Source organism: Homo sapiens, chromosome 7 (assembly GCF_000001405.40).
Source record: "Homo sapiens chromosome 7, GRCh38.p14 Primary Assembly".
Classification (NCBI taxonomy): Eukaryota; Metazoa; Chordata; class Mammalia; order Primates; family Hominidae; genus Homo; species Homo sapiens.
Genome location: NC_000007.14, coordinates 38,708,701 through 38,736,221, shown reverse-complemented (window position 1 = coordinate 38,736,221; position 27,521 = coordinate 38,708,701). Strand labels below are relative to the sequence as shown.

The window sequence follows — 27,521 nt, the reverse complement described above, 5'->3', positions numbered from 1 at the left end:
TGTATTGAAATTTGAGAACCTTGAGATTAGATGATCTCTAAAATATCTTTTGTTTCTAAAGTTCTTAACAGAGGCGTTTTATAAATATCTCTTTACATATTGAATACAGCTGCATATTTAATGTTAACTTAATATTTTAATGTAAGCCTTAATATTTATTTTGGGATCTAATAAAGCAGCTTAGATTTTTAGGTATAATTGGGGTTTATTTTTCACGGTTTTTTCTTTTGCCTCAAAAATGACATTTATTTAAAGAAAAAAAATGACAAATTGTCCATCCCTTGACTCCCTTCCCTCCCCTGCCCTGTTCCTCCCAACTGCCCCTTGGATTGAACCCTGGCCGGGGCTAGGTAGCAGGACAGCCCTTCTCAGATGAAGTCAGCAACACTGATGGGTGTCTTCTTAACAGAGGGGCTGTCAGAGGCCTTAATGTCTCATGGAATAGTTGTTTTCAAAGTGCCATATACTTGATGACTTATAAACACATTTATTCAGATACATGAGTACCTCCTGTGTCAGACAGTATGTTCTGTGCTAACAGGGCCTCCATTTGGTCTCATAGACCTGGGGATGAGCGAGACACAGCCCTTTGTTCATGCTGCTCATGATCTAAATTGATGTTTCTGGGAGAAGTAAAATGCCTTAACACTTCCATTTTGTTAAACTACGCACACCATACACACAGACACACACACATACACATATACACATGTACACACACAGAGACACACACATGTACACACACATACCTCATCCAAACTGATAAACTGATTTCAGACATCTCCATGCCTTCCAAAGTTATTTTCCCAAATTTGCATTTGCTGCAGTCCCCATAGTCCTTTATTTCCCATATCTCTATTTTGCAATCCAAATGGGATAAGAGGAAATAATGGCTTCTTTCTTACTAACCTTTTTTTGGGCCTACGTGGGTTTCTTTTTGACTCTCAGTATATAAGCTCCTAATTTTCTTCTAAGAGAGAGTTTTTGAATTTATATGTTCATGAAATAAACTTTTAAGACCAAATGAGATTTGTTGTTTTCCTTTTGAAATTATTTCAGTTTTGCCTTATCACAGCTTTTAGGTGACATAGGTGGCCTGTGACAACCAGCTGTAGCTTTTAAAATTAATTTGGTACATCCATACTTTGTGCTATTAGAAATTTAAATACAATTGTGTTTATAAGATTGTTTCTGAACTCCAACATAAGACCTTAGGATCTCTTTCCCTTCGTATTTCTCTGCAGTTCATCATTTTTATAAGAATCCCAGCCGAAAGCAAAGCTTTTTCAAGAAGAATTCAAGTCCCATAGCATTGTGACCTAAAGGAAGGATTAGAAATGAGGGGAAAAGTTTCTCAGTCTACCCTGTGTCATATTGGGGGCTTTTAAAACCAGGTAGCTGTCTGTCATTTGCAGTTCTAATGATAAGCATTGCAGTATGAACAAGGCAATGTCAGCAAAATGTTTAGTGTTCGAAGAATCTTTTAAAATAAAAATTTCAGAAACTTGGCAACTTTTGATGGCATTTTTCGCATGGCCGCTGTTTCTAATGAACCATAATAACTTTGCTGATATACAGTTCTTTTATTGCTTTATAAAATCTCTGTGGGTCTGGTGTTTTGCTTTTGGTTGGGATTATTATCAATGATGATGAACTGCAGAGAAATAAGGAGAAAGGGGGAAGATAAGGCAAATCTAAGTTCTCATGTTGATTTTCAACAGTCGTGTTGTAAATTCATTCTTATTTAAATTTACAGTAGCACAAAATATAATATGTAACAGGTTGTTTATAGAAGCCATAGCTGGTTGACTTCAAAATGACGAAAAGGGAAGAGTAAAGGTCACGTTGATAAAATATGTAATTTAGAAAAACTTAGAACTATGGAAGGAAACAAAGTAATATCAAGAAAACAAGAATCCTGGAGTAGGATGTAAGAAGAAATTGACCCCTAGATTTGAATAATCTTGGAAAAATATAGGAAAGTCCTGTAAGGAAAATAAATCTCTGAAAGATAATATTGTACTTTCTAAGCTATGCCTACAAGTATTTTTTGAGATGAAAATTAATACCATTATGAAGTTGAGGAAAGAAAAGACTGGTTTATCCTCAGTGAAATTCTTTTTGTTTTGTTTTGAGACAGGGCCTTACTTTGTTGCCCAGGCTGGAGCATGGCAGTGGTGCAGTCACAGCTCACTGTAGCCTTGACCTCCCGGGCTCAAGTGATCCTTTCACTTCAACCTCTGGAGTAGTTGGAACTACAGGCATGCGCCACTATGCCTGGCTAATTTTTTTTATTTTAATTCTTTGTTGAGACAGGGTCTCACTATGTTGCCCAGGCTGGGCTTGAACTCCTGGGCTCAAGAGATCCTCCTATCACAGCCTCTCAAAGTGCTGGGATTATAAGTGTGAGCTACCACAACCATCCGATTGTCAGTGATACTCTAATAAGAGACATAGGTTACAAAGCAAAGGTTAATAATGGTGCTGTTTAATTTACCAAGTAGAGATATTTCATAGAGATGTTTCAAACTAGTTTTAAGTTCTGAAAGTGATATCAGAGGCTGTCCAACACAGAGAATAAGAAACCAGGGTAAAACAGGAGGAAACAGGTGAGAAAGTTTTTAGTGGGTTAAAAATGATTGATCTTTGAAAGGCCAGTTAGACATACTTTGGAAAACAAAAACTACTTTTGGTGTGAAGGAGGACATAATCTTCAAAACTGCATGCTTATAAGCTTCTGTAGTCTATAAACCTTCAGGAAACATCACAAAATGTATTTGCAAATTCCATAAAGTTTAAGAAAAAGGCACGGGGAAACAACCAGCATAACCGTAAAAAACAAAGTCCTTGCAGACTAAGTTTTCAACACCTGAAATAAACAAAGAATACGAGTTTATATCAATATCTTCGAAAACTCAGAAGAACTGTACAATTTTCTAGGAAAATAATAAGTTGTAAAAGTTTACTCAAGCAAATAGAATAGACCTATAATCATTAACTAAATTACATTGGTAGTCAAAATGTATAGCTACAATAAAGGCACTTATTCCATAGACAGTTTTAGAGACAAGTTTTATCCTTTTAAAAAATAGCTGGCTGGATACGGTGGTTCATGCCTGTAATCTCGTCACTTTGGGAGGCTGAGGTGAACGGATGGCTTGAGCTCAGCAGTTTGAGATAAGCCTGAGCAACATGGTGAAAACCTGTCTGTACTAAAAATACATAAATTAGCTGGGCGTGATGGCTCATGCCTGTGGTCCCAGCTACATGGGAGGCTGAGGCAGGAGGATCACTTAAGTGCAGGAGGTCAAGGCTGCAGTGAGTTCTGATCATGCTACTGTACTTCAGCCTGGGTGGCAGAGCAAGACCTTGTCAAAAAAAATTAATTAAAAATAATAAAACTAAATAAAAAGCAGCTTCTGTGTTACATTTACTTTTCCAGATAATTGAATGGAAAAGTTCCTCAGTTCCTTATGGAATGCTAGTGTAACCCTAATACCAGCATTACGTGAGGGCAGTATGAGAAAATTATAGCCCTATCTTTTTTTTAAAAACACAAATGCAAAAATAATACATAAATCAATAGCAAATTGAACTTGACCATTTATTTAATTGTTAAAAGTACATCCATATCATAAATGTTATTAGTTCTCCCTAAAATAATCATCTGTATGTTCAATAAAATTTTAATCAAAATATCCAAAGAATTTTTCATGGAAATTAATAAACTGGTCCTAACTCTTAACATAAAAATTAAGAGTAAGATTATTATTCAAGAGGGAAGATATTTTTATTAGATATCCAACTTAATATGTGGGAGTATAAAATGCTATATAACCACTTTGGAAAACTGTTTGTCATTTACTTGAAAAATTAAACATACACCTACTCCATGACCCAGGAATTTCACTCCTAGGTATTTACTCAAGAGATGAAAATCAGTTCCATAAAAAGATCTGTACAAGAATGTCCTTTGGATTTCCTTAGTAGCCCTAAACTGGACATAACCTCAGCATGCATTAACAGGAGAGTGTACCTCAGGGTTGTTGCCTCTTGGTGACAAAGTAGATGCCGTATCACTAGGCTTTACATCCACACTTCATATGGCACATGCGGGAAGCAAGGGGTTTTTTCCTAATGAGGCTTTGCTTTTTGATTTGAAAGGGCTGCTTTCCCAGGCTTGATGTTTATCTTGTTGACCAGATCTATGTTACATGAGCCCCAGCCAGCTGTATATTTCAGCTGGACACACACTAAATGAAGTTGGAGTTGTGTTTGAAAAGAAGGAGCAGGAATGGTAGAGGGCAAGAAAGTGTCAGCTGTGTCTGTAATACTTTATTTTCTGGAATGAGATCTGAAGCACGTGGGAAAATATCAACAGATTTGTTAAATCTAGGTGGTAGGGACTGGGTCTTTTTTTGTTTTCAGTTTTTTTTTAATATTTCATATTTTAAAAAGAAAAATAGCACAAAATAATGAAAGATAGTGCTCAGATCAAGAGCAGCAGTGCTCAGTGCCATTCTGGTCATCGAAACCTGAGTAACAGAAGAGTGTGCATGTGCCCTAAGTATGTAAAGAACATCACATTTGCAAGTTAGAAGGGAGATGGGGAAGGTGATGATAGTCTGTGGTTGCGAAGATAGGCTGGGTAAGATGACCTTGAAACATAGCAGTCATCCAAAATCATGAGTGTGAAGGTCAAAAAGAGGTGAGGATGACCTGCTTACGCCAACTGCTGTGGCATCTGACTTTTGGCCATCAGTGTCTTTATAAAAAAGACACTCATGGGAAATTGCAAGTATGAATTTTTGAGGGTGAAATGAATGTGAACAACAGCACATTTTTCATGAGTCACTGATGGAGTTGCTACTAGGAATCCATAGTCAACATAATGCCTTGTCCTATGTCTGATGTTGAAAGCAATACCTGTAGATTGTAGTACATTATAATCTTGTACTGTCTTCCTTCACTTATCACCTTTAATTGCCTACACATTATTACAGATGTTATAGAATAAATGATTACATTCTATAGAGGATAGTCTCATATTTTGAAATACCTGCCTGGGATCATATAAATGAAACTTAAAATGTTTTCCTGTTTTTCTGATTGGGAGCCTTGAATTTTGACCAAATGAAGTAGGAGATAGCAGTAAGCTGTATTTGTGTACTTTCCCCTCTCCTGGCTGTTTGCCTCTGAATAATGAATTTTCCTAGAAAATGCTATCTGCAGGCGGACAGATTGTACCTGTTTAGAAAAATGTAATCCTGCTGAGGATATGGCTCCTTCCTGGTTTGCATATTTTGCTGTTTTCTTTTTTAGCTTGTAGACACAGTGGCCTCTGTCTAGACTGCTGGCCCTGCCTTTCTCTTATATAATTCATGCCATGGGCCTGGAGCACCCACGAGAGTCAGAGCCATTTTTTAAAATTGTTTTATCTGAGATGTTGTGGTTGAAACCATTACTCTTAAGTTTTTTATTTTTGTCTTGGAGGCTAAGCAGCTTTATATGTTTGCTTTTAAATTTATTTAAAGTTTCCTGACATCCATATTTCTTAGCTATCTTTCTTACTGTATTTGTTATTTTTCTCTTCTACCTGTATGTTTTAATGCAGTCTGTTAAAATTTTAATGTATTTTTTTAAAAATCCAAAAAAAATTGATTCCTGGTAGAATTTTAAAGAATAAAACTTCATAGGCAGTTTCTCAATTAATGTAGGAATACTAAAATCATGTAATTTCCTGTTCATCAATACTAGAAATGGCAGGCATAGAACTTTAATCTAGACATTAGTTTTGTTTTCCTGAATATTAATTTGTCTTTGTATAATTAGGGGAAAAAGGCTTTCGGCTGGATTCACCCAAAGCCAGTGCTCTTTGGGATTTTCAGAGGAACACGTGGACCACTGAGGATAGAGGGCTGCAGTTGGCTGCTCCCTTACTTTTCTTCCCCAGTGGCATGAATTTAAAACTTATGAAAGCAAAATGCCCATCTAGCTTGTCAAGTCGAGAGTGACTTCAGTATGAAGAAAGCCAAAGTGCCCCCTCTAAACAGTGGCACTTGCCCGTGAAAGACACATGCTTCTCAGCCTCAGAGCTGGGCTGTGGTGAGACAGCGCTGTCTGTTAATGTGAACTTCTATGATGTGACATGTGTAACTGCACATAACTGCGTATGATAAGACACATAGGGCCCAAAGGGAGAAGCCACAGGCACAGCCCCAGAGCGTCTCTGTCCTTCAGGCCTTGAGTTTCTCCCTCTGAAAAAGCAGCAACAAGTTCTGGTTAAAAAAAAATAATAATAATAAATGAAATGACATCTGGCTTATGCACACCTCCTGGAGCCTCTCAGTTTCCTACTAATACCTAAGAAAACCCAGCAAAGGGTGGGAGCTCACACTGTGCCCCACAGAATGGACATGAAAGGTAAAGTGTCGCCTGTCCCTGCTGTGTCCCCACCTAAAAGCAGGGGAGGATCTTGGACCCCATCGTGCCTCCAGTTCTGAAATACAACATTGGTACCAGCCAGAAATGGGCATCATCCTCCACTGTGTGCTTCTGACTTCTGAGGCTGCCAAAGCATTGTGATGTCTCTTGTCATTCTCCAGGCAGGAAGGGAGGAAATAGTAAAAAGCCTGCAGGGGAATAAGAAAAATGTGTAAAGAAACAAAAGCTATAATGCTGGGATGAAGAATAAAGAAAAGGACTCTTATGAGAGAATATTTGTATTCATGGTCATTTTTCAAACCCCTCCCAGGAGTCACCAAATTTGAAGGTTATTATAGTCAGTTAATACCACACACACACACACACCACATTCATAGCACTATGCTGAATGGTTTGGATTAGATTTGGAAAGAAAAAGATAGGTTGCATCCTCAAGGGGATTTAAGACAGAGATTGTATCTGTTTAGTTTATTATCTATACCCAGTACCCTATACGTGATAGGGACCCAGTACTTATTTGTGCAGTAAATAGATTAATTTATGAAATAAATTGATGATTTTGGAATAGCAGGTTTTCATTCTGGGTAAAGATCTGAAGAATGGAATGAACACATGATGTAGGAGCCAAAGTCTGCCCAAGAGGATCTGTATAAGGAAGCCCTCTAAAGTAGCAATAGGGTTAGTTAATATAGGGCCTTCTTTGCCAGACTTTGGAATTTATGTTTGATTATACAAATGCTACAGGAGCCCGTGTATGGTTGGAAGAAATGATGAAATGACGCACAGAGTAATGAGTGGATCCTGGCTGGCCAGGTCAGCCTGGCAGTGGTTTGGCAGGAAGAGGGTACTGAGGGCAAGAGAATCAGTGAGTGCCCCTTTTGAGTATTTCAAGCATGCCAGCTTTTGGAATCCCCAGTACAGTGTCCCTTCACCCCTCAGATTTGAGTCTACTTAAGATGGCTTTTCTTTTAAAATGTATGCATTAGATTCTGCTTCGTGAAGGCTGCAAGAAGATTCTCGTAGCTGACTCTTTGTCCTTACTGAAGAAAATGCACCGAACTCAAATGAAAGGTGTTCTTGTTGATGGTGGGTAAAATTGAAATAATCATATGGAACCACGTGCCCTGCTTTCAGAAATGGCCAAGCAGGTATAAACAGGGCATAATCCAAAGTATGTGTGTTTTCTTACAGAGGAGAACATCTGTGAGTCGTGCCTTTCCCCTATTCTTCCATCAGGTAAGAAGGTTTTCCCCAAAAAAATCCCAAACATGTATTTTAATGATGAGTGGAATCAAAATTTTGGAATTAGCCAACTACCGTTTATAAAACTATATAACTTTCAGAATAACCCAGTGGAGAGAAGTGTTGTGGCTTCCATCCTGCTCAGTGGAATGCTGGTGCTGCCATTGCTTAGAGCTGAGGTTCTCAAGCTCTAGGGTGAGTCATCGTCACCTGGCAGGCTTATTGGAACCCAGATCGCTGACCCAGTCAGACTCCCTAGAGTCTCTGGTTCCAAACTTCCAGGGCAGGAACTGAGAATGTATATTTCTAACAAGTTCCCAGGTAATGTTGATGCCACTGGTTCAGGGGCCCTTCTTTTAGAACTGCTAGTCTAGGGTAAAAACAAAATGAAAACTAACCATCAGCATTTAAATTTCAAGGTAGAAGAACCATATACATGTCTGGGAAAAAAAATTTATAGGTAGCATTCCCTTTTCTTTAGTGTTTTTCTCTGATATATGGTTCTACATGCCCAAGTCATCTCACATTTCAGTGGAAACATACATAATCCCTGCCATCTAATTGGAACTGTGAGTCTTTAAAAGACATAAGCATTTGTTTATTTCTAGTTCTTGGCAGATAGATATATGTCTTCATCTGTAATGAAAAGCACCTTCTTAAGGTTTATTATGACAGAAGAAATTTGCATAATTCAAAAGCGGAAACTAACAAAGCATTGTTAGGATGCTAACAAATGCTTTTCAAATATAAGTTCAGCATAACAAAGTACTAAAAGACCTAGTTGACCTCATGTTTACTTAGGATTAAAGGATTATTTCATGGGGCAGTCCATGAGAAGTTGTTCTACTTAGGTTCTTTTCTAGAGGAATTAGATTTGGATGTTTAAGTGCTTCTGTTGAAAACTGCATGGGCTCAGGTGAAGAAGTGAGCTTCCATAGCATTTCAGACAGTGTTGCAGCAAAAAGGAACCACATACATTCCCACTCTACAGTTAGATTTAACTCCAAATTTACTCTGCTGATGACACTAAATCTTACCAAAAATAAGCTGGCCACACAGAGCAGGAACAGATGAGGGGATCTGCCCAAGCACAAGTGCAGTAAAATGCAAGGTCACCACAGCCTGGGCTTGTAACCCAGGTCCGCCTCTGAGTCAGTGTGTGGTCTTGGCAAAGGTAGCAGGTGGACTGGCAAAGCATTTTTATGAAGCCACAGACTCAACTTCAGCTGTGGTGTATAATGATTATAGGGGTTAGGGGCGCATTGGCACATACACTTGCTGGTTTTCCTACAGTTGTCCTCAATGTAGTCTGGGTAAGTGACACAGAGGCTAAGCAAGTAACCTGTGAATCGCATAGCAACATGATTATAATACCTGTTTTGTGTCTGATCATACCACCCCTCAGGAATGCTTTTGTAAATAAGCCATTCTCTAAAGGCACCTTATTGCTGAAAATTAAACTGCAACTCGACTTTCAGTCGGGATTGGTTTAAAATGATCTTGCTTGTTGCATTAAGTTCTCCTCCTTTCTCTGCCCTCCTCGCCAGATGCAGCTAAGCCCTTCAGCGTGGTGGTCTTCCATTGCCGGCACATGTTCCACAAGGAGTGCCTGCCCATGCCCAGCATGGTGAGTTGGCAGCTTGGCACCTATCAACTAGAGGGAAATTAACACACTTAGAGGAATGTGCTTTAAACTGTAACCCTTCATCCTTATGGCTGTATGGGTTAAAAAAAAATTACAATGTGGATTTATATCACATAACAAAAATTAATCTAGTTTTCAAATGTAAAAATATTTAGAAATGTTCTATGTACTATAGTAAACATAAAAGCATACCCATTTGAAGGAATTCATTCAGGCCCAGTTGACAGCTGTCATGCTGTAGAGATGAGCAACAACAGTAGAGAGCCATTGTGTATCTTATGTGTTTCTCAGCCTGATTTGTGTTCCATGATGCTATCATTTTTTTAGTGTCATATTCCTCCAGGTCACATTAGACGTATTCTGCTGTTGGGTGTCCTTGGAGTCACAGAGTAACAGCTGATCTAGACTAAATCCTATGTTAACCAGAAATAAACTCCAGAGAAAGGAGTGCCATCCTATTACTTCCTCTCCACCCCCTGACTAACGCTACCTTAGTGTTTCTGAATATGAGAGTAGAAAAAGAAGATCATTTTTTAAATATGTGTTTTTAAATTGCATTTTTAGAACTCTGCTGCACAGTTCTGCAACATCTGCAGTGCTAAGAACCGTGGACCAGGAAGTGCAATTTTGGAGATGAAAAAATAGCTCATTTCTCCTTGTCAGTCTCCTTGTCACCACTCTTTTTGAGACTGTTTTTGCAACAACAAAAGCATTTGTTGACACTCGTGCTGTTAAGAGATTTGTTTATGTTTATATTATACTCAAAAACAATTTCTTCATCTATTCCTGTACTAATGGTTTCTCTTTGCAGTTCACAGAGAATTTGGGGCTCTCTTCATGCCTTGAAATTTTGGGGTCCATAGTGAATATTTTGTTATTTATTTGTTTGGCTCATTCTTTATATAGTAATGGAAACATAAGTCTAGGAGTTAGAAATGAATTTTTTAGACCTTAGTAAAACCATTTAACCATAAAATGGACAACTGAGAATTCTCCCAGCTGCCTGAAAGCGTCGCCAACTGTGGTTATCCTGCAAGCTGCTACCTGCAACTTGGACGTTGTTTCCACGTGCTCTGCTGGCTACGATTCTTGCATTCTGGGTTTGGCTTTTTTCTGTGTCATCAACTATGGTTATCCTCTAAATAGGCATTTAATGAAACATTGTACAAATTGTCACTCATTTGATGACACCTGGGAATAACATTAGCAGGCTGATGTCCTGCACCATTATGTTTACTAATCACATGTTCTGTGTGCTGTGACGACTGTCAAAGAGTATCTGGCCATGGCGGACACTCAGCATTTGTTGATTGAATAAATGTTAGCTCTTCTCATTGTGAAGGACTCACTTTTACTGGGATAAACAAATGCAGTTAAGAATTCTGGCACCCTTGTAAGGAAGAAAAGAGAGTTCAACACCTTCGAGTCTGAGCGCTTGTGGCTAGAGTTTGCCAGGAGGGAGGAAACCAGTGACCCTGAAAACTGAGGGTGCCTCAGGAGCAGTGGGACCACCTGATGCTGAAGGACGGACTAATGATGTTTCCTCTTGCCTTCTCTGGTGCCTCCATTGCCCTCATGGAACAGAGCATATCATAGAGGGAGAAAAGTCAAACTTGTAATTGTGTCTTACAGTTACTGGCTTCATCTTCCTTGGGATATATGGTCATCCTCTAATGAGTGTAAAAGTGCGCAAAACACATCCTTATTGTTCCTGATCTCTTAGTCCCATAAATGGGAACAAATACAGCTTTCTGCTTCTTTCTTTTTGGGGAAAGGACAGGGTGCTAGTGAGTACTGACAGCATGCCAGCTACCGAAGTCACCCAGCCATTCCCATGAGCAGCAGTTCATTTAATTGTCACAGCGTCGCCAGGAAGAAGATCTGATAAACCTAGGTTTACAGATAAAGAAAGCAAAATGTAGAGATGTTGTTGAGGTCACAGAGGTGACTGCCTAACTTCAGAGCAGGGCTTCTGATCCCTTTAAGAAATTACAGGGCCAGCCGGGCATGGTGGCTCACGCCCGTAATCCCAGGGCTTTGGGAGGCCTTGGCAGGTGGATCACCTGAGATCGCACGTTCGAGACCAGCCTGACCAACATGGAGAAACCCCATCTCTACTAAAAACACAAATTAGCCAGGCGTGGTGGTACATGCCTGTAATCCCAGCTACTCAGGAGGCTGAGGCAGGAGAATCACTTGACCCCAGGAGACGTAGGTTGTGGTGAGCTGAGATCGCGCCATTGCACTCCAGCCTGGGCAACAAGAGCAAAACTCCGTCTCAAAAAAGAAAAGAAAAGAAAAGAAATCATAGGGCCAAGTTCAAAGGAAATGCACAGAACATATCTTCACATTAGAGTTAAGAATTCTCTAGCAAACAACAGATTTTTTTGTTGTTGTTAGTCACAAATACTTAGAACTGGAAGGCTCTTTGTTATTATTGAATGTACCCCTCAGCCTTCTCAGCATTTCCTTATCCCAAGACTAGTGTGCTTTCTGCTACACTGCTAGTTTTCAGTTTTGTTCTTACCCAATTGTTTTTTCTTTTCAACATTACCAATTTACAGATTCAGTTTATTACATTTACATTAATCCTCACTTATGATTTGAGCAAGCTCATTTCCAGAAAAGTTTACTTTAAGATCATCAATAGGATTTGCTAATTTCAGTGAAGTCATTTTGCTTCAGGGGTAAATTATCCTAGTTACCAAGTCCTATTTGGACATAAAGAAAATCCTACTTATAGAAAAGGAGAAAATAATTAAACAGTCTTCATTTTTAAGTAACTGATTTAAAAGGAAAATAATAAAATATGTTCGTTTATCATTTCAGAAATTGCTGTAACACACTGGAAAATTCCTGAACAATATAGATTTTATCGTTAATAAAAAACACTAGCTTTCGTTCCTTAGAATGTCTTTTCTTTTGAATAAACAGTATTGGGTGATTTATTAAAGGATATTCAATCCTTTTTACTTTTCATCAACCTATAAGGGCTTAAATATGGCAAAATAATCCAAGTGTTAGTCAATTATTTTTCATGTGTGACTAGCCCAATTTAAAATATAGGTAAAAAGGAAACCCATTCCCCTCGTTTTGGGGAAGAACATAGTTGCAAAGTACACACTTCATAAGCTATTCTTTTTTTTTTTTTTTTTTTTTTTTTTTTTGAGATGGAGTCTCGTTCTGTTGCCTTGGCTGGAGTGCAGTGACATGATCTTGGCTCACTGCAACCTCCGCCTCCCAGGTTCAAGTGATTCTCCCGTCTCAGCTTCCGGAGTAGGTGGGAGTACAGGCACGCACCACCATGCCCAGCTAATTTTTTGTACTTTGGTAGAGATGAGGTTTCACCATGTTGCCCAAGCTGGTCTCGAACTCCTGAGCTCAGGAATCCGCCCACCTCGGCCTTCCGAAGTGTTAGGATTACAGGCGTAAGTCACCATGCCCAGCCAAGAAAGCTATTCTTGAAGTGTAAAACAGCCAGGTGCAAAATTATTTTGGAGTACTTTAGTTTGCTTTTGTTTTTAGCCAAAGGGATTTCATACTGGTTTAATTATGTTCATCCTTGAGAATTTTTGAGAAGTTTCCAACAGATTTGTAGTTCATTTTGCTGTTGTTACAATGTAAAGCTATATATAGTTGACCCTTGAACAACACAGGTTGGAACTGCAAGGATCCACTTATACATGGATTTTCTTCTGCCTCTGCCACCCTTGAGACGGCAAGACCAGGCCCTCCCCTTCCTCCTCCTTCTCAGCCTACTCAGTATGAAGACGACAGAGATGAAACACTTATGATGATCCACTTCTACTTAATGAGTAGTAAATATATTTTCTTTTCCTTATGATTTTCTTACTATTTTCTTTAGCTTGCTTTATTATAAGAATATAGCATATAATATAAATAAAATATAAAATATGTGTTAATGGTCTATTTATGTCACCAGTAAGGCTTCCAGTCCACAGTAGTCTATTAGTAGTTAGGTTTTGGGGGAATTATACGTGGATTTTTGACTGCATGGGGTGTCAGCACCTCATCCCCCACATTGTTCAAGGTTCTACTGTATTTTAATATTAAAAACCAAACATGCATTGAGTAATTACTATGTGTTAGGAATTATTAGAAGCACTTTGCTTATACTATTTAATTATATTAATGTATCCCTATGAAATTGGTGTTATTACCATCATCGTCATTTTATGGATGAAGAAACTGAAGCACGTAAAGGTTAAGTAACTTGTCCAGGGTCAGGTAGCTGATAGTGGAACACCTAGCTGAAATTCAAACCCATGCAGTTGCCTTCAGAGTGCCTGATCTTAACTGGTGCATATTTGATTTTTTTGTTGTTAAAACATACTTATTTGAGCTGTTTTGGTCAGTGGATAGAAAGCAAAATCCACTCTTAGAATAGAAAGGGATTTATTACAAAGTGTTAAATGGCTTACAAAATCATTGATGGGAATCAAAGAAACAATAAGGGAGCTTTCAGGCAATTCACAAAGCCACCCCACAGAACTGGGCTGCCCAGGGAATCACTGCCCCACCACCATCAGATCATGGGCTGCACATAGCAGTGTCAGTTGTCACTTTTAAGTAAACATTGGTAAATAAAAGTGTACACGTTACTCAGTTTCTCCTAAAGCCCTTTCTCAGTAACATTAAATCGTGTGTATACATATGTGTGTGGGAGACATTTCTATGTGCTAAATACTACATCGGTTCATTCTGGTTTCTATTATCAGGACACAGGCTACTAAAACCACCAATTTTGGTACTAAACTGTAACCCATTCCTGGCGCTCTTAGCTAAATGCTGATTTATGAAATCTGGAATGAAGTTCCTTCTTTTCTCATGCAGCACAGGTTTTGGAGTCATTAGGATCAATGCAACATTCATAGTAAAGATAAGACAGGAGCGAGAATGAGAAACTCAGCCTGCAAAAGCAGGTCTCCAGAGTTGGCCACTCTCCAGACCTTTCTTTACATTTACCCAGAATCGTGGTTCTTAATGAAAACAAAGTCATGCCATTCCCCTTCTCCAGTCCCATGGGAGTCTTTGTGCCCCGTGTGTGAAAGGGCTTGCAGTCTTTGGCTTGGCTTAAGCAACCCATTGCATTTAACTTCGCTGCCTCCCTTTTTCTCTCCCTGAACTCTGGCCATTGTGAGTATACTTGTGGTTCCCTTCACCCCTGTACTGCAGCTAGCCTTCATCCTCCAATACTCTGCTCAGACGGGACTCCTTGCTCACCCTGACATCCTCAGACTGGGTAGGAGACCTCTCACTTGTCCTCATATAGTACCTAGGGACCAATCTGCCTTGTCACACTGCATTGCAGTTGTCTGTGAAGCAAGTATAATCTTAGTCCACAAACTCAGGTCTACAAATGAATAGGTTTTTAAGTTTTCTCTTGAGTTCACATTCTACCTAGTGGCATAAACTTAATTTAGTTCATAGTAAACTCAGCTAAATGAGGCTTTTCTTGATTAGTTTAGGCACCCCCTTCTCTTCTAGGTTGCCTTGAAGTTTGGGTGTTGTGGCAGGAATGGTCTCCTTGTGCCCCAGAATCAATTAGAAGGAGGCAGGTGGTCCTCAGTGGAGCTCTGTCCAGGCCGGCATTGGCTGGAATGCCATCATCCCACCGGCCTTTGCCAGCATCTTCATCTGCTGCCATCATTTCTAGGATGTCTTCAGTCCCAGCCAGCTGTGGTCATCAGTCCTTGCGGTAACCCTGCTGCTTCTGACAAGCCCCTGCCACACCTCTGTCTGGGCTGGGAAAACTTGATGAACTACCTCATGGCTCTGATGGTGGAAAATGCAGACTTTGCCACGCAAGTTGATCTTTATTGCTTCCTCACCATGCCCAAGAGTCCATTAAACCTCTTTTTTTTTTTTTTTTTTTGTAAATTGCCCGGTCTTGGGTATGTTTTTATCAGCCGTGTGAGAATGGACTAATACAAGTTAAAACACTTTTTTCCAAAATTAATCTTTTTGCCCCAGTTATTCCAGATAGCCTCAATCTTTTTTGCTTTGATATTGACATGTCAGTGACATATTTTCAAAATTCCATCAACTCCTCTTTGAGTAGAGTGATTATATAATTTGTGATCCAAATCAGAGTACTTTGAGAGTATAAAGGGCATTATTAAAAATGACTCCAGGCCTGGTACGATGGCTCATGCCTGTAGTCCCAGCACTTTGGGAGGCTGGGGTGAGAGGATTGCTTGAACTCAGGAGTTTGAAACCAGCTTGGGCAACATGGAGAAACCCCATCTCTGTTTATATATATATATATATATATATATATATATATATATATATATATATATATATACACACACACACACACATACATATATATATATATATATATATATATATATATATATATATATATATATATATATATATAATAAATGACTCCAAGCAAACTAGTGAAACCATGACTGTTCCTGGCAACCTAAGAAGTATCTCATCCAGTCTCCACTGCGTAGTTCTATTGATGCAATACTGCATGTAACAGAATGAGGAAAATAATGTTACTTAAAGCCAAACTGGTTCTGCCTTCTCAGGGAAATTATGTAAGTCATATCAGAGGAAAAAAGAAATATTTATACTACACACTTCCACTTATAAAGACTGGTGGCTCAACAGAATGGAGGCTGAAGAGGAAGAGGAAACACTAAAACTTCAAAGCCTCCTCAAATTCCTTGCTCCTAAGCAGAGCAAATTATTGAATCTTTAGATAGGCAGGAATTAGCCTAGAGTTCCATAGAGGATTAAGAGTGAAGCTTTCTAAAGTGAGGAGAATTGAGAGGTGAGGGTTTTAGGGAAAGAGTCAATCAAGCAACCTGAGCAATCAAAGGGCATTTTAAGAAAGGAAAGGCTAATATTCCATTTTATGTTGCATTGCTGCTAAACCCTTCCATCTTCCTCAAATGTTCAGTAAAGTTTGGTATAAAGACGATGTCATCTCTGAGTAGTTTTTAGGGAAAACTGATTAGCTGTGTCCCACATCTGGGACCCTGAGGAGTAGAAAGAAGTGAACAGCAGGAGGCAGGATCTGGAGTCGAATGGAAACAGGAATTTAGGCCCACAAGAGACAAGAAGAATGTAAAAACCCTAAAATTTGCAGAAATGTCAAGAGACTAGTCTTCCCAAAGACCAGTGGAGAAAGGCATTGAGCCCGTTTTAGATGGATTCAAAAGACTGGGTGAACTCAGCTACATCAAATTACACATTTCTATCTCTGTTGACAAAATCTGGCTAAAGAGGGCAAATCATTTCAGTTTAGAAACTGCATACATTTTGTCACTAGGATTTTATTCTAATCTTAGTGTGTTTGGTTTTATAGACACATCTATGCCTCCTGGTTTATGATCCATTTACATCGTGTTCTGTGTGAAAATAAGAGACTTTGTAGATGAGACAAGTAAGGGTGAAAGGAACTCACAAATGACAGACTCAAGAATGAAAATTACTGTGTAATTTTTTAATAATTATGGCACAATTAATAGAGATGAAATGCAAAATTCTGCAATTATACTCAAAAAATTATTCATACAAGGATGAGTCAGGAGAGACTCGGTTAGTAGTCCAAATGAAAAGAGGCCTTGGGTAAGAAAACTGGAGCATTTTCCTCTGAAGTTAGATCTAAGTTTTAATCTCTGCTCTATCACTTACTAAGCAACAATTTACTTAACATTTCTAAGCTTTGCTTGCCTCATGTAAATGGGGTGATGATAATAACATCTACTTGGGAGGATGTCAACAGCATTAGGTGAGACGATGCATGCAAAATGCTTAGCTAGTGCTAGCACAGGAAGAGTAACTAGCACGTAGCAAATGCTTCACAAATGTCAGCATCCAAGATGGTCCCCTGATCCCCACCTCTACCAGGGTTGGTTTGTGTGACCAAAAGAATATGGCAGAATGGACAGAACATCCCTTCCAAGATTAGGTAATGAGACAGCAGCTTGATATCATGCCGTCTGAAAGAAGCCATGTTGTGAATGAAGAGACCCATTTGGTGAACAATGGAAGCACCCTGCCAAGAGCCATATGAGTGAACCTGGAAGTGATCCTCCTGTTACTGTCAAATCCTCAGAGTCAGGAATCCCAGCCAAAACCTTGACTATATCCTCATGATAGGCTGTGAGCTAGAACCACCTACCTACGCCATTCCTGGATTTCTGATCATCTTCTGAACTGTGTGAGATAAATGTTTGAAGTTGCTAAATTTGGGAGTTGGGGGGCACAATTTGTTATGCAGCAGTAGGTAACTAATACAGCAATCCATTAATAATCAGCCTGGTTTCTGTTACTTGACTACAAATATGGACCATCAGTGACTCCTAAAAATGAAAATTGAATGCAGCATTTTAATGGGCTATTCGTCCTATTCACAGAAAGTAGCATTCTCCATTCTGCATCTGAGAACACTTTGCTTAGGGCATTTTTTTAAAACAAGGATTTTGACAAAGCAGACAGGAGTCGTTAGGAGAGTGATCAAATTTGAAATCTTAAAATTTAAGAAACTAGTGGAGGAATTGGATAGTACATGATTTCAAAAACATGAAAACTGAGGACATTAAATGTGCAAGGGTTAGAAGTTTGTCGCATGCAAAGGGGAAAGTGAAGATAGCATTTTTTCACATAGTTTCAGAAGTCCAGTTGCTGAGGTTAATCAATGAAAGTTGTAGCATCAAAGGTTTAACATAAAACAACTTCCTAAAATCAGCCAGGTGCAGAGGCTCACGCCGGTAATCCCAGTGCTTTGGGAGGCTGAGGTGGGCAGATCACCTGAGGTCAGGAGTTCGAAACCAGCCTGGCCAACATGGTGAAACTCCGTCTCTACTAAAAATACAAAAAATTAGCTGGGCATGGTGGCATGTGCCTGTAATCCCACCTACTCAGGAGGCTGAGGCAGGAGAATCACTTGAACCCGGGAGGCAGAGGTTGCAGTGAGTCGAGATTGCGCCACTGCACTCCAGCCTGGGTGACAAAGCAAAAGTCCATCTCAAAAAAAAAAAAAAACTTTCTAACATTTGGAGATGTCCATCTACAGATGGGTGTGCCCCCTGGAGCTCTGCTCTGAGCCAAGGCTGGTGACCATGTGTCAGGTTGCTGCAGACAGAACTCTGAGCTGCCAAGTTGTTCTCTAAGGCCTCTTTCCACTGTAAGCATATCTAAATCCCCCTAGAAACAGCAGGTTTATCAGTTACTCTCACACTCTGTTATTTTTATACGCAGATCCTATGCCCATCTGTTGTGTGTCTGAATACCCACATCTTTGGCTAGCTTATTAATTCAGTGTCACTACAGGGTCCTTTCTTCTATCCTCCCCGCAAGGCAGGATCCACTTGTGTCTCCCATCTATTTTGCAGCTTTCTTCTCTATTTTGCTTGATAATGCATTCTTCAACGATAATATTACTAGTTCTCACAAGCTAGTTCTTTCCTAAAAGGAAAATTAATAAGAGTATGTTACCACAAGTGTTATGGGCTGAATTATGCCCTCCCCAAATTCATATGTTGCAGTCCTAACTCCATTACCTTAGAAGATGACTATTTAGAGATAGGACCTGTAAAGAGGTAAGTATGGTAAAATGAGGTCATATGAGTGGGCCCTAATCCAACATGATTAGTGCCCTTATAAGAAAAGGAAATTTGGCCGGGCGTGGTGGCTCATGCTTGTAATCCTAGTACCTTGGGAGGCCGAGGTGGGTGGATTGCCTGAGCTCAGGAGTTCCAGACCAGCCTGGGCAACATGGTGAAAACCCGTCTCTACTAAAAATACAAAAAATTAGCCAGGCGTGGCAGCGTGCACCTGTAGTCCCAGCTACTCGGGAGGCTAAGGTAGGAGAATTGCTTGAACCCAGGAGGCGGAGGTTGCAGTGAGCCAAGATCGGGCCACTGCACTCCAGCCTGGGAGACAGAGCGAGACTCCGTCTCCATAAAATAAAATAAAAAAAAAGAAAAGGAAATTTGGACACAGACATGCCCATGCACAAAGGAAAGACCATGTGAGAACACAGCAAGAAGATGGCCCTCTACAAGCCAAGGAGACAGCCCTCAGAAGAAGCCAAACCTGCCCAAACCTGGATCTTGGACTTCTGGCCTCCAGAACTCTAAGAATATACATTTCGGTTGTTTAAACGACCCAGTCTGTGGTCTTCTCTTAGGGCAGTCCTAGCAAACTAATACAACATAATTCCTTATTCTGCTGTTGGGCTCTGTCTCAGCAATAGGAACAGAATTCCACTTCCGTCCTAAGGGCTACTGCCTGAACTTCTGATAAACACAAGGGGGCCCACCTGAGCCCACTCACACATTGGATCTCTATCCAAAAATGCCATGTGTCTTTATCATTTCTCCAGGTAGGACTTTCCACGCTTTCTCTCCTATACTTTGATGCCAGGCTGCACCAAAATGTATAACTGAGAATTGCCTACTTATAAACAATGTGAAAAGGCTCAAGAACATACATTTCTAATTCCAAAAATTTAGAAAAGCTGCTCTTAAGAGCTTTAATAAAATATTTGTAAATTATATTACCATGATTGGAAGTTCATTTTTACGTAGGTAGCTTCTTTAAGATTTATTTTTATTTCAATTAAAAAACGTAGCCTAAAATTTAGATTCAAAACATATACTATACAAAATATATATATATTGGATATACAAACTTTCAGTAACATGATTGCATTAGGACTCTTGGTTGCAAGCGACAGAAACACAACTCAAACTAAATTTGGTCAAAGTGGAATTGCAAGAAGGATGGAGTTGTGCCTGGGCCTCCTGAACTCTGGTGATGCCAGGGCTTGATCTGCAAAGGAGATCCTTGTGCAGCCTGAGGAAGCAAGATTGACTTACTGGAGTTGAGTTGTCACCCACAACCTGCCATCCATGCACAATCCAGATAAACAAACTGAGGAGCCTCGGAGAACCACTGGTTGCCCAGAGGAGTTTTACCACAAGGATGGGCAGTTTGTCAGTATTTAAGCCGGGACTTTGAGCTGCATTCTCACATATTGCTTCTCCATTGTGAATAGTGTCAGCTAGAGTCAGGGCCATACTCGTCAATAAATAGGGACAGGGTATTAACTTAATATTAGGGGAGAAAGTGATGGCAAGTAAGAAAGGAGGGCACTCCCCTAGATGCCTTCTGGCTAATTCCTACACATCCTTCAGTTTAAACATTGCTTCCCCAGAATTGCCTTCTTTGCCTTTCCAGATAAGGCTACCTTCCCTGTTAAGTGCCTCCATAGCAACCTGGAGTTATCCAAAGATATTTGAGCCCTTGGAATAATTTAATGATTCATTTTGTTCCCATTAGACTATTATTTCCTAAAGAGTAAGGAGTGCCATTATTTGTCTATCCCCAGTGCCTCTGTTAAATGTCTGGGGATGGATATATGTAAAAGACACTCAAGTATCTGTTCACTGATGTTGTGGATTGGTTTGGATATGGTTTGTCCCCACCCAAACTCATGTTGAAATTTGATCCCCCAGGTGGTAATGTTGGGAGTTGGGGCCTAGTGTGAGGTGTTTGGGTGATGGGAGCAGATCCCTCATGAATAGATAAATGCCCCCCGACATGGGTAAGTGATTAGTTCCCTTGAGAATGGATTGTTAACAAGAGTCTGGCTCCCTCAGTTTCTCTCTTTTGCTTCCTCTCTCCCCATGTGATTACTTTGCACATGCCAGCTCCCCTTCCACTTTCTGCCATGAGTTGAAGCAGCCTGAGGCCCTCACCAGCTGCAGCTGCCCCTATCTTGAACTTCCCAGCCACCAGAATTGTGAGCCAAATAAACCTCCTTTTAAAATAAGTTACCCAGCTTCAGATATTCTGTTACAGAAGCACAAAACAGACTAGGACAACTGACTAGCAGGATAACAGTGGAGTTAACTGCATCAGCCCCAGGCAACTCAGACCCAAATCTAGTACCTAAGACAGAGAAGTATATTTAGTCACTACAGAAGCCTAATTTGGAATCAATTTGCATTCAGTCTCCCTTTCTTCTCTGTTCAAGTGCCAAGAATAGTGCTGTCACCATTGTGGCTCTGAGGTGGTCCAAAGAGTCTGGCATGATCCTTCCTATGCTATAAGGATATTAAAAAAGAAGGAGGTGGAGGAGGAGGAAGAGGGAGCAGGCAGGGAAAGAGGGAGAAAGAAGCAGCAGGAAAACAAAGTACTTTGCACACAGTGGGTTATCAATATGTATCTCTTGATTGAAATGCTCCCAAAGGGAGATGACACAACTTTGCTAAGTAAGGGCTGGCCCGTTCTAATCTTATCATTTTGCTAACCAAATCCAGAAGCAGAGCCAGACAGTGAAGAATGATTCGGCCTCATGGTCATCCAAAAAGTGTTCATGAAATTGGCAGTTTCCCAAGGGGTACCATTTTGTTTGATGCCCAATATGGAAGACCAACAGAGAAACTAAATTGTTGCTTGCTTTTTTAGCTTACGTTCCTCCTTGCACCTCAGTAGCAACCTCAGTCCTGTCTGAAATATCTTTGTTCCCTGCCACATAACCTTTAGATGACCCTGTATTCAAGGCTGTGCATCCTTAATACATAGTTAGGATGCTCCTTCAAGATCCCTGGAAACATATTAGATTGTAGTTTTCTTCCCAAACTGCCTACAATTTCTTATATTCATTTAAGATAGAAAAATGGCTTTAATAACCTCAGCAGCCTGGTCACTGGCAGTAGCCACAGCTGAAATTTTATGATTATAATTTTTCTTTGTGGCCACAAAAATAATGGAAATCTCATTTTTTTCCAGTAACAAATAGTGAGGTTCCTGAATGGAAAAGACATATTGGCCTTAAGAGACTTGAGCTAAGATTTTTCCTAAAACTGCATTTACAGTCCATCTGAGGCACAGTTCACAAGAAAAAGAGCCCCTTTTCCAATGGTCCCAGAAAATTTTCTCTATTAACTGTGATTGGCCCAGCTTGGTTTGCATGTGGACACTTGAAGCCACTAAATGGGAGTCAGTCCTATCCAAACTATATAGATTGAGAGGGGAGAGGAGGTTGGGAATAGGAAAAGTTACGGTGAATATATTTTTTAATACACTTAACCGGTATAGACCTGTTTACCAACCCCTATATTCTGCAGAGATCATTCGGGCTGCTACTGCGGAAAATATTTTAGGAGGGACTAGACCACTGACCATGAAGTCAGTGGTAATCCAGGCATGAGACAGGCCCTTGGGACCTGGACCTTCCTGGTGTTGATCACAGTGCCCTGTGGAAGAGGCCGCCCATCTTCCATAGGAGTTTGGCTCCACGTGTAGAACTATAGTCCAACTCAAACTGATACTGCAGATATTTTGAAAAAGTCACACGTAAAAATATTTATAAATGGAGAATTCAATATATTTAGCAAGAAACATGGGTCTTTATGAACAATTTAAAGATTAACATTGCTGGTAATATAGCATATTTATCAAAGCCCAGGAAGTGAGATGCAAAGATCTTGCTCTCACTCCTATCCCATCTGTGATTTGTAATTATTTTTCAAAGGAATGAAACACTAAAAAAAATGTATATAAGGAAAACATATTGCTTACTTCTGTTATCAGTGCAAATTAATATGAGAACTTTGGGTCATTTAGGCTGGATGATGGAACAACATGTACCCAGTGTATGGCTACGCTTGTACTAAGACCATCGGGTAAGCCCAAGAATTCCTGGACACAATATTTATATTTGAAGAACTAACGCCTACCTTTAAAAGGCGGACATTCTCCTTTGGATGGTAACACAGATATGTATTAGCCATAACACCAACATAGCAAGAGAATTGAGAAGCCGCTGGGACAAACATTCCACTGCCAGAAGTCCTGGACAAGAGACATTGATTTCACGCTTTTAGCACTGAGGGAGCAGATCCTGTGGGTCTTGACTATGTCTAGAAAGGGTTTCTTCTGAAGTTAGAGAAGGATGGGAGGATGGGGATCCCCAGGCCCTGCCAAGGGGAATATTTTTCCAGATCATCAAGCCAAGGGGCTCTTAGCCAAGACAGAAAAATCATTTATAAGCCTTTGACAGAAGCAAGAGGGTTGAGAATCAGGGGATGAAATTGCTTCAAATTTGAGGTGCAAAGCATGAGAGGCACCAGAAGTTGGAGAGTGACAGTCAGAAGCCAGAGGCAAAGAAATATATGAATAAATTGACTTTTGGGGAATTAATTTCCAAGCGCAGCCTCCTGCCTCAATGCCACCCTTACCTATTCCTGCTATGCTTCATGGGGCTGTATGCTATTCATTGTTACTATCTTTTAAAACGTTTTGTTACTGAAAATTTCCAACATATACAAAAATAGAATACTATCATGAATCCTCATGTACTCACCATCCTACTTGAGTAGTCAATCTTGTTTCCTCTATACTCACCTACCTCCCCCTACGCCACCAGATCATTTTGAAGCAAATCTTACACATAGTATTATTTCATTTGCAAATATTTAGGTATATATCATGAAAGGATAAGAACTCTTTTTTAATATTAAAACTATAATCTGATTATCATAACTAAACAATAATTTCTTCATGTCATCAAGTATCCAGTCAATGGTCACATTAACCTGATTATCTTACAAATGTTTTCTATAGTTAATTTGTTCAAGTCTGGAGCCAAGTAAGTCACGTTGATATATTTCTTAACTCTCTTTTCATCTATACGTTTCCTCCTCCTCTTTTTTTCCTGTTTGAATTTATTTGTTGGTGGTTTTTAATATGTTTTCTGATCATAAAGCAATTTATATTTTTATATTTTCATTGAAGAAAATTTGGAAAACATGAAAATGCACAGTGTAATTGTTCTAAAAATCACCCCAAATCCCAATATCCAAGATTATCAACATTTTGGTATTATTTCCTTCCTGCCCTGGTTCAAGGTAAAAGCTAAACAGAGAAAAACTAAGACACCATCTTGTGGCGAGACCTCTCATTGTCGTCTTACCCCACCCCCTTTTCCCATATTCTCTTTTTGGTTATATATATCTTAGTGCATTATGTCCTTACAGTAACTTCACAGCTCAAATGATATACCCATAAGAGTTTTGAAGCATTTTGCCAAATTACTCCGGAGAAGGGGACATGCCTTCCAGAACGACTCTACCAATCGGTCCTCTCGCCAGCAGTGCTTCAGAGCGTGAACATAATCTTCAATGATTAGTGGGGCTGGAATAGAAAATTGATTGGGTTGGAAAGGTCAAGGAAGGCTTTTGGAATGTAGAGATGCCAGAGCAGGAGGAAGAGGGCATTGGGGGCAATGAGCAGGAAGGGAGGCTGAGTGAGGCACATCAGGAGTGCAGGAAGGTGACTCTGGGAGATGGAGGGGTTGTTCTCAGAGCAGAGTCCTGTTTCTCGCCTCCTAATCAGACGGCAATGCAAAAGCTTGGTCTATTGAGTAAGGAGACATTAACAGACCTTTGTAAGCAGCGGGAAGGTGAGGATTGTTGAAGAATTCTGCTGACACAGTCTGTTGGAATACAGTTGTCTTGACAACCAAGAATTAAAACCCTTCCAGTGGGCTCAAGTCCATTCACCCAGGAGCTTCCTGATGGTGCAAATCAATCTGTGAGTCTGTCCTTGAACACAGATTCTTTCAGTTTTTTTTTTCTTGTTCCTGCTTGAATTTCTAATGAAAAAGGATATGCCAATTTCTTAATAAAAATGTATCCAAATCTTTTTTATTCCCTGACCAGATATTTCTACACATTGCTAGACTAGTCCTTTCCAAGACATCAACTTTTAGTGTAGTTACTATGCCTATTTTGTGTGTATTTGCCACTTTGCAATCTTGTATGTAGTTGTGGCTTAAGCAAAACCCATCTTTAATTTTGTAAATGTTACAAAAATAAGTTAGCACAGTTGTAAGTCCAAAGGAATACAAAAGGATGAAGATATGATTTCCTGCCTTCCAGAATTTTAGAAATTCCTCTAAATATCTTGAGCAACTAGGATCAATTTTTAAAATGAAAAGAAGGGTCAAATAACCCAAGTAAGAAATCGGCAAAAGATAGGAAGAAGCGATTCACTGTACAGCAAAAACAAATGGCAAAACAAGAGATAGAAAAAGCTCAACCTCACTAATACTTAGGGAAAAGTAATAAAATCTGCCAGGCTGTTGGCAGGGGGACAGGGAACAGATACATTTCTATACTGTAGGTTGGAGGTGTAAATTGATCACAGTTTTTTTTTTTTTTGGAAGGTAACTTGACAACATTAATTAAAATTAAAAATATAGATAGCCTCATTCCAGTAATTCAACTTGTAACTATGTATCCTAGAGAAGTTCTCACACTTGTACACAAAAAGCATGACAGCCGGGCACAGTGGCTCACACCTGTAATCCCAGCACCTTGAGAGGCTGAGGCAGGTGGATCACTTGAACCCAGGAGTTCAAGACCAGCCTGGACAACACAGACCCTATCTCTACAAACATTAAAAAAAAAAAATAGCCAGGAATGGTGACATGCAACTGTAGTCCCAGCTACTCAGGAGGCTGAGATGGGAGGATCACTTGAGCCCAGGAGGTTGAGGCAGCAGTGAGACGTGATCGTGTCACTGCACTCCAGCCTGGGTGACGGAGCTAGACGCCATCTCAAAAAACAAAAACAAAAAACCATGACCAATGATATTGTAAATATCAGTCAGTAAGGCCCACATAAACTATGATTCATGCTATGAAATTCTAGCAAGTACTAAAATGGACCAAGACATTGTAAAGTGTAAGGAAGCAAGCTGGTTCCACTTATGGACAATAAAACAAAGCAATCATGTTCTTTAGGTATGTATACAATCAAGTAAATGCATAGGTATGTGTGTACAATGCATAGAAATAACAGCAGTAAGTTACCTGGAGTGGGGTGAGCATTGATGGAAGAACCGGGAAAGAGAGGTTTTCTTTGGCTTTATACTTTGTTTGTCTGTTTGTTTGTTTGTTTATAAGTCAGGGTCTCACTCTGTAGCCCAGGGTGATCGTGCAGTGGTACAATCGTGGTTCACTGCAACTTCAGCCTCCTGGGCTCAAGTGATCCTCCCACCTCAGCCTCTCAAGTAGCTGGGACTATAGGTGTGTGCAACCACACCTGGCTAATTTTTTAAGTTTTTGTAGAGACAAAGTCTCATCATGATGCCCATGCTGGTCTTGAACCTCTGGGCTCAACTAATACTTTTTTATAAGAATATATTTATACATTACTTGAATGACTAAAAAAATGTATAAGAAGTGTTAAAAGGATCATCAGCAGTTATAGTTTATAGTTGCAGTTATCAGTTTCCTTCTTTTAGTAAGGAGATTGTATCTCTTTGACTCTCTCCTTGGAAGCAAATATTCCTTACGGCTTTGTATCTTCTAATTTGTAGTTGTTCCCTCAGTGTTTTACTTGAGTAAGAAATGAAACTGTCTTGACAGTTCTTCTAACAACAGTTTAATTCCAAGTTCACCCTAACCTGGAAAGAACTCTGTGTTGAGTGTCACTGGTTGGTGTATTTCTTAATTACATCAAAGGAAGATATTCATATCAGCTACTATTTTGATGTCGTTAGGTATCACTGTGACTTTGTAGTCTTGCTTAGTAAGGTCAGAGTACACTTTTAGAATGAATCTTCTGAGGCATTTTTCTTAGAACCAACTCAAGCTGTGCATTTGCCATCTCATCAGGCTCGTGGGTGATGTACTTTTTTAAAGAAGGCGGCAAAACTTGGCTGGCTTTCTTTTGGAAGGCGTGATTTTATTTTCTCAATCTGTGCATCTTGTGACCAGTGTTAGGATGCTGGAAAAGTAGTTAGGATCAATGATTTTAAAAAATTGACTTTTAATTTTAAGCTAAATGAAAAGAGAAAGTAAAATCATGTTTCTGTAGTCTTTTAAAGAAGATAATCTGGAAAATTTCATCAGCCAGCCAAAATCATGATTTTAACAGTGATCTTATTTTCCTGAAAGAAATTTACTGAAGATCTATAAAAATGGTTAGATAAAAATAAAAGAGGGAGGAGAAAATGTCCATTCCAGAATCCTGATCACAGATATGGGTGTAGGATGAGAGAGCATTTTGCAATGATTTTGAGATTACTGACAGCAGGTCTTGGGTCTCAGCATATGGAACGATGTGGATGTGTCAAATGTCTTCTGTCTGTTCCAACTGTGGAAATTCTAAGCTGCTTTGTCCTT

At 39.6% G+C, this 27,521-nt stretch overlaps 1 protein-coding gene across 4 annotated transcripts in view; it reads left to right on the top strand.

Annotated features, from left to right (window-relative positions):
- VPS41 (VPS41 subunit of HOPS complex) overlaps positions 1-13,248 on the top strand; it is a 186,218-nt gene extending 172,970 nt beyond the window's left edge. For 3 of the 4 annotated variants that reach the window (NM_080631.4, NM_014396.4, XM_017011988.2), the window contains 4 exons: positions 7,431-7,530; positions 7,636-7,680; positions 9,234-9,313; positions 9,896-13,248. In NM_080631.4, the coding sequence (NP_542198.2) occupies positions 7,431-7,530; positions 7,636-7,680; positions 9,234-9,313; positions 9,896-9,976 (306 nt within the window). In that variant the 3' untranslated portion in view covers positions 9,977-13,248. Of the gene's footprint in view, positions 1-7,430; positions 7,531-7,635; positions 7,681-7,787; positions 7,882-9,233; positions 9,314-9,895 lie in introns of those variants that run through there. The other variant, XR_007060008.1, reaches the window with a different exon arrangement.
- The last annotated feature ends 14,273 nt before the right edge of the window (positions 13,249-27,521 follow it).